Consider the following 6,508-nt stretch of genomic DNA (forward strand, 5'->3'; position numbering starts at 1 on the left):
CTGTGTAGTTTTTATGTGAAGATATTTCCTTTTCCACAATAGGTAACAAAGCGCTCTGAAGTTCCAATTGCACACCCTACAAAAAGAATGTTTCAAAACTGCTCAATCAAATGAAAGGTTACACTCTGTGAGATGAATGCACACATCACAAAGAAGTTTCTCAGAATGCTTCTGTGTAGTTTTTAGGGGAACACATTTCCTTTTCCACCATTGGCCACAAAAGGCTCCAAATAATCACACGCAGAATCTACAAAAAGAGAGTTTCAAAACTGCTGTATGAAAAGATAGGTTCAACTCTACGAGTTGAATGCACACATCACAAAGAAGTTTCTTAGAATTTTTTTGTGTAGTTTTTATGTGGAGATGTTTCATTTCCCACCATATGCCTCAAAGCATTCCAAATAACCCCTTGCAGATTCTATGAAAAGAGTGTTTCAAAAGTTTTCAGTCAAAAGAAAAGTTCAACTCTGTGAGTTGAATGCCCACATCAGAAAGAGGTTTCTCATAATTCTCCCGTATAGTTTTTATGTGAAGATATTGCCATTTCCACAACAGACCTGCAAGGGCTCAAAAAATCCACTTGCAGATTCTACAAAAAGAGAGTTTAGGCCGGGCACAGTGGCTCACGCCTGTAATCCCAGCACTTTGGGAGGCCGAGGCGGGTGGATCATGAGGTCAGGAGATCGAGACCATCCTGGTTAACCGGGTGAAACCTCGTCTCTACTAAAAATACAAAAAATTAGCCGGGTGCGGTGGCGGGCACCTGTAGTCCCAGCTACTTGGGAGGCTGAGTCAGGAGAATGGCATGAACCCGGGAAGCGGAGCTTGCATTGAGCCGAGATTGCGCCACTGCAGTCCGCAGTCTGGCCTGGGCGACAGAGCGAGACTCCATCTCAAAAAAAAAAAAAAAAAAAAGAGAGAGATTTTAAAAACTGCTCTATCAAAAGATATGTTCAACTCAGTGAGTTGAATGCACACATGACAAGGAAGTTTCTCAGAGTGCTTCTGTGTAGTTTTTATGAGTAGATATTTCCTTTTCCACAATGGGCCTCAAGGGGCTCCAAATATCCATTTACAGATTCTACAAAAAGTGTGTTTGAAAACTGCTCAATCAAAATAAACCTTCAACTCTGTGAGATGAATGCACACACCACAAAGAAGTTTCTCAGAATGATACTGTGTAGTTTTTATGTGAAGCTAATTCCTTTTCCACCACAGGCCACAAAGTGCTCCAAATATCCACTTGCAGCCTCTACAAAGAGAGAGTTTCAAAACTGCTATATCAAAAGATAGGTTCAACTCTGAGATGAATGCAGACATCACAAAGAAGTTTCTCAGAATGCCTCTGTGTAGTTTTTATGTGAAGATTTTTCCTTTTGACCATAGGACTCAAAGTGCTCCACATATCCACTTGCAGATTCTACAGAAAGAGTGTTTCCAAATTGCTCCGTCAAAAGAAAGGTTCAACTCTGTGAGATGAATGCAAACAAAACAACTAAGTTTCTGAGAATGCTTCTGTGTAGTTTTTATGGGAAGATATTTCCCTTTCCACAATAGGCCTCAAAGCACAGCAAATACTTGCAGAATCTACAAAAGTGTGTTTCAAAACTGCTCAATCAAATCAAATATCCAACACTGTGAGATGAATGCACTCTTCAAAAGAAGGTTCCCAGAATGGTTCTGTGTAGTTTTTATGTTCAGATATTTCCTTTTCCATTATCAGCCAGAAAGGACTCCAAATACCCACTTGCAGATTCTACAAAAAGAGAGTTTCAAAACTGCTCTATCAAAAGATAGGTTCAACTCTGCGAGTTGAATACACACATCGCAAAGTAGTTTCTCAAAATGCTTCTGTGTAGTTTTCATGTGAAGGTATTTCCTTTTCCACCATAGGCCTCAAAGTGCTCCAAATATCCACTTTCAGATTCTATAAAAAGAGTGTCAAAACTGCTAAATCAAAAGAAAGTTGAACAATATGAGATGAATGCACACAAAACAAATAAGTTTCTGAGAATACTTCTGTGTAGTTTTTATGTGAAGATATTTCCTTTTCCACAACAGGCCTCAAAGCACTCAAAATATACACTTGCAGATTCTCCAGAAAGAGTGTTTCAAAATTGCTCAATCAAATGAAATGTTCAACTCTGTTAGATGAAAGCATGCAACACAAAGATGATTCACAGCATGCTTCTGTGTAGTTTTTAGGGGGAAATTTTTCCCTTTCCACCATCAGCCTCAAAGTGGTCCAAATAACCACGTGCAGATTCTACAAAAGGGAGTTTCAAAACTGCTCTATCAAAAGAGAGGTTCAACTCTGCGAGTTGAATGCACACATCACAAAGAAGTTTCTTCTAATGCTTCTGTGTAGTTTTTAAGGGAAGATATTTCCTTTTACACCTTTGACCCCAAAGCGCTCCAAATATCCACTTGCAGATTCTATGAATAGAGTGTTTCAAAACTGCTCAATCATAAGAAAGTTTCAACTCTGTGATATGAATGGACACATCCAAAAGAAGTTTCTTATAATGCTCCTGTGTAGTTTTTACGTGAAGATATTTCCTTTTTCACAATAGACTTCCAAGTGCACCAAATATTCACTTGCAGATTCTACTAAAAGAGTGTTTCCAAACTACTCAATCAAAAGAAATGTTCAACTCCGTGAGATGAATGCACACATCACAAAGAAGTTTCTCCGAATGCTTCTGTGTAGATTTTGTGGAAAGATATTTCCTTTTCCACAATAGGAATCAAAGCACAGAAAATATCCACTTGAAGACTCTACAAAAAGAATGTTTCAAAACTGCTCAATCAAAAGAGAGTTTCAACTCTGTGAGATGAGTGCACACATCAGAAAGAAGTTTCTTAGAATGCTTCTGTGTAATTTTTATGTAAAAATATTTCCTTTTCCACCATGTGCCCCAAAGGTCTCCAAATATCCACTTGAAGATTCTACAAAAAGTGAGTTTAAAAACTCCTCTATCAAAAGATAGGTTGAACTCTGTGAGATGAATGCACACATCACAAAGAAGTTTCTCAGAATGCTTCTGTGTAGTTTTTATGTGAAGATATTTCCTTTTCCATCGTAGGCCTGAAAGAGCTCCAAATATGCACATGTAGATTCTACAAAAAGAGTGTTTCAAAACTGCTCAATCAAAAGAAAGTTCAACTCTGTGAGGTGAATGCACACATCACAAAGAAGTTTCTCAGAATGCTTCTGTGTTGTTTTCATGTGAAGATATTTCCTTTCCCACCATAGGCCTCTAAGTGCTTCAAATTTCCACTTCCAGGTTCTATAAAAAGAGAGTTTCCAAATGGCTTAATCTAAAGAAAGTTTTAACTCTCTGAGATGAATGCACATATCAGAAATGAGTTTCTTGGAATGCTTCTGTCTAGTTTCTAAGTGAAGATATTTCCTTTATCTCAGTAGGCCACAAAGCCCTCTAAATATCCTCTTGCAGATTCTACAAATAGTGTGTTTCAAAACTGCTCAATCAAAAGAAATGTTCAAGTCTGAGGGATGAATGTACACATCACAAAGAAGTTTCTCAGAATACTTCTGTCTAGTTTTTATGTGAAGATATTTCCTTTTCCACTATAGGCGGCAAAGCCCTCCAAATATCCGCTTGCAGATTCTACAAAAAGAGTGTTTCAAAACTACTCAGTCAAAAGAAAGGTTCAACTCCGTGAGTTGAATGCACACATCACAAATAAGTTGTTCAGAATGCTTCCGTCTAGATTTTACGTGACGATATTTCCTTTACCGGCAAAGGATGCAATTCGTTCCAAACATCCCCTTACAGATTTTACTAAAAGAGTCTTGCAAAACTGCTGAATCAAAATAAAGGTTCAACGCTGTAAGATGAATGCACACAACACATTGAAGCTTTTCAGAATGCCTCCATCTGGTTTTTATATGAAGATATTTCCTTTTCCACAATAGACCTCAAAGTGCTCTAAATGTACACTTGCAGGTTCTGCAAAAAGGGTGTTTCAGAACTGTTCAATGAAAGGAAGGTTCAACTCCGTGAGACCAATGCACAGATTACGAAGGAGTTTGTCAGAATATTTCTGTGTCCTGTTTGTGTGAAGATATTTCCCTTTCCACCATAGGCATCAAAGTGCTCCAAATGTCCACTTGCAGATTCTACAAAAACTGTGTTTGCAAGATGCTCAATCGAAAGAAATGTTCAATTCTGAGATGAATGCACACATCACAGAGAAGTTTCTCAGAATGATTCTTTCTAGTTATTATGTGAAGATATTTCGTTATTCACCATATGCCTCAAAGCAATCTTAATGTCCTCTTGTAGATTCTACAAAAACTGTGTTTCCAAGCTGTTCAATCAAAAGAAATATTCAATTCTGTGAGACGAATGCACACATCACAAAGAAGTTTCTCAGAATGGTTCTGTCTAGTTATTATTTGAGGATATTTCGTTATCCACCAAAGGACTCAAAGAGCTCCAAATGTTCACTTGCAGATTCTACAAAAAGAGTGTTTCAAAACTGTTCAATGGAAATTAAGGTTCAACTCTGTGAGATGAATGCACACATCACAAAGAAGTTTGTCAGAATGTTTCTCTCTATAGTTTTTATGTGAAGACACTTCCTTTTCCATCATAGGCTTCAAGGCGCTCCAAAAGTCCACATGCAGATTGTACAAAGTGTTTCACGGCTGTTTAATCAAATGAAAGTTTCAACCCTGTGAGATGAATACACACATCACAAAGAAAATTATCAGAATGCTTCTGTCTAGTTTTGTGAAGATATTTCCTTTTCCAGAATAGGCCTCAATGTACTCCAAGTGTCCAGTTGCAGATATTAAAAAAAATGGTGTTTCAAAACTGCTCAATCAAAACTAAAGTTCAACTCTGTGAGTTCAATGCATATATCACAAAGAAGTTTGTCAGAATGCTTCTGTCTAGTTTTTATGTGAAGATAGTTTCTTTTCACCTTATGCCTCAAATCGCTCCATATGTCCACTTGCAGATTCTGCAAAAAGAGTTTTTCCAATCTGTTCAATAAAAAGAAAGGTTCAACTCTGTGAGAAGAATGAACAAATCACACAGAAGTTTCTCAGAATGCTTCTGTCTAGGTTTTATGTGAATATATTTCCCTTTCCACCATAGGCGTCAAAGTGCTCCAGTCCACTACACTGCATTCCATTTCGTCCCATTCCATTCCACTCCAATCCACTCCACTCCAATGCACTCCATTCCATTCCATTCCTTTCGATTCCACTCTATTCCAATCCAGGGTATTCCATACAATTTTTTGAAAGGATCTCATTCTGTCTCCCAGGTTGGAGTGCAGTGGCACAGTGTCAGCTCACATTTCATTTCAACATTCCATTCCATTCCGTGGCATTCCATTCCATTCTATTCCATTCCACTCCACACCACTCCACTCCACTCCATTCCATTCCATCCCATTCCACTCCACTACATTCCACTCGACTCCACTCCACTCCACTCGACTCCACTCCACTCCACTCGACTCCACTCCAATATACTCAGTTTCAATTCCATTCCATTCCATTCAACTCCATTGCATAACACTCCTTTATTTTGACAGGATCTCACCCTGTCAAAAAGTCTGGACTGCAGTGTCACAATCTCAGCTCACATTTCATTTCACCATTCCATTCCATTCGATTCCATTCCTTTCAACTCCATTCCATTCCACTTCACTCCACTCCACTCCATTCTACCCCAATCCCTTCCATTACACTAACTTCCATTCCATTCCTTTCTTCTGACAGGATGTCACTCTGTCATCCAGGCGGGAGTGCACTGGAACAATCTTAGCTGATATTTCACTTCACCTTTCCAATGCCTTGCCTTCCATTCCATTCCATTCCATTCCATTCCATTCCATTCCATTCCATTCCATTCCATTCCATTCCGTAACATTCCACTCCACTGCACCCAACTCCAATCCACTCCACTTCAGTCCACTCCACTTCAATCCACTCAAATCCATTCCCTTCAATTCCACTCCATTTCATTCCACTCCATTACCCGCCACTCCACTCCAGTCCACTCCACTCCATCCCATTCCATCCCACTCCATTCCACTCCATTCCACTCCACTCCACTCCATTCCATTCCAATCCATCCCACCCATTCCACTCCATTCCACTCCACTCCACATCATTCTAGTCCACTCCACTCCACTCCATTTCGTTGAATCTCATTCCATTCCACTCCATTCCACTTCACTCCACTCCACACCACTCCACTCTACTCCACTCCATTCCATCCCATTCCATTCCATTCCACAGCATTCCACTCCACTCCACTCCAGTAAACTCCACTCGACTCCATTGCATTCTATTCCATTTCAATCGATTCCACTCCACTCCATCCCTTTCTTTCGACAGGATCTCACTCTGCTCCACATTCTACAATGCAGTGGCACAACCTCAGCTCACATTTAATTTCACCATTCCATTCCATTCCATTCCATTCCATTCCATTCCATTCCACTCCACTCAACTCCAATCCAT

The 6,508-nt window shown here is 39.5% G+C and overlaps 1 annotated feature.

The window, feature by feature from the left end:
- Nucleotides 5,167-5,805: an enhancer, noted in NCBI's record as "OCT4-NANOG hESC enhancer chrY:13137114-13137752 (GRCh37/hg19 assembly coordinates)". NCBI's record gives its function as "activates a minimal SCP1, AML or CMV promoter by ChIP-STARR-seq in naive H9 embryonic stem cells {active_cell/tissue: H9 hESC(naive)}" and the evidence as "EXISTENCE:reporter gene assay evidence [ECO:0000049][PMID:30033119]".

This window comes from Homo sapiens, chromosome Y (assembly GCF_000001405.40).
Source record: "Homo sapiens chromosome Y, GRCh38.p14 Primary Assembly".
Lineage (NCBI taxonomy): Eukaryota > Metazoa > Chordata > Mammalia > Primates > Hominidae > Homo > Homo sapiens.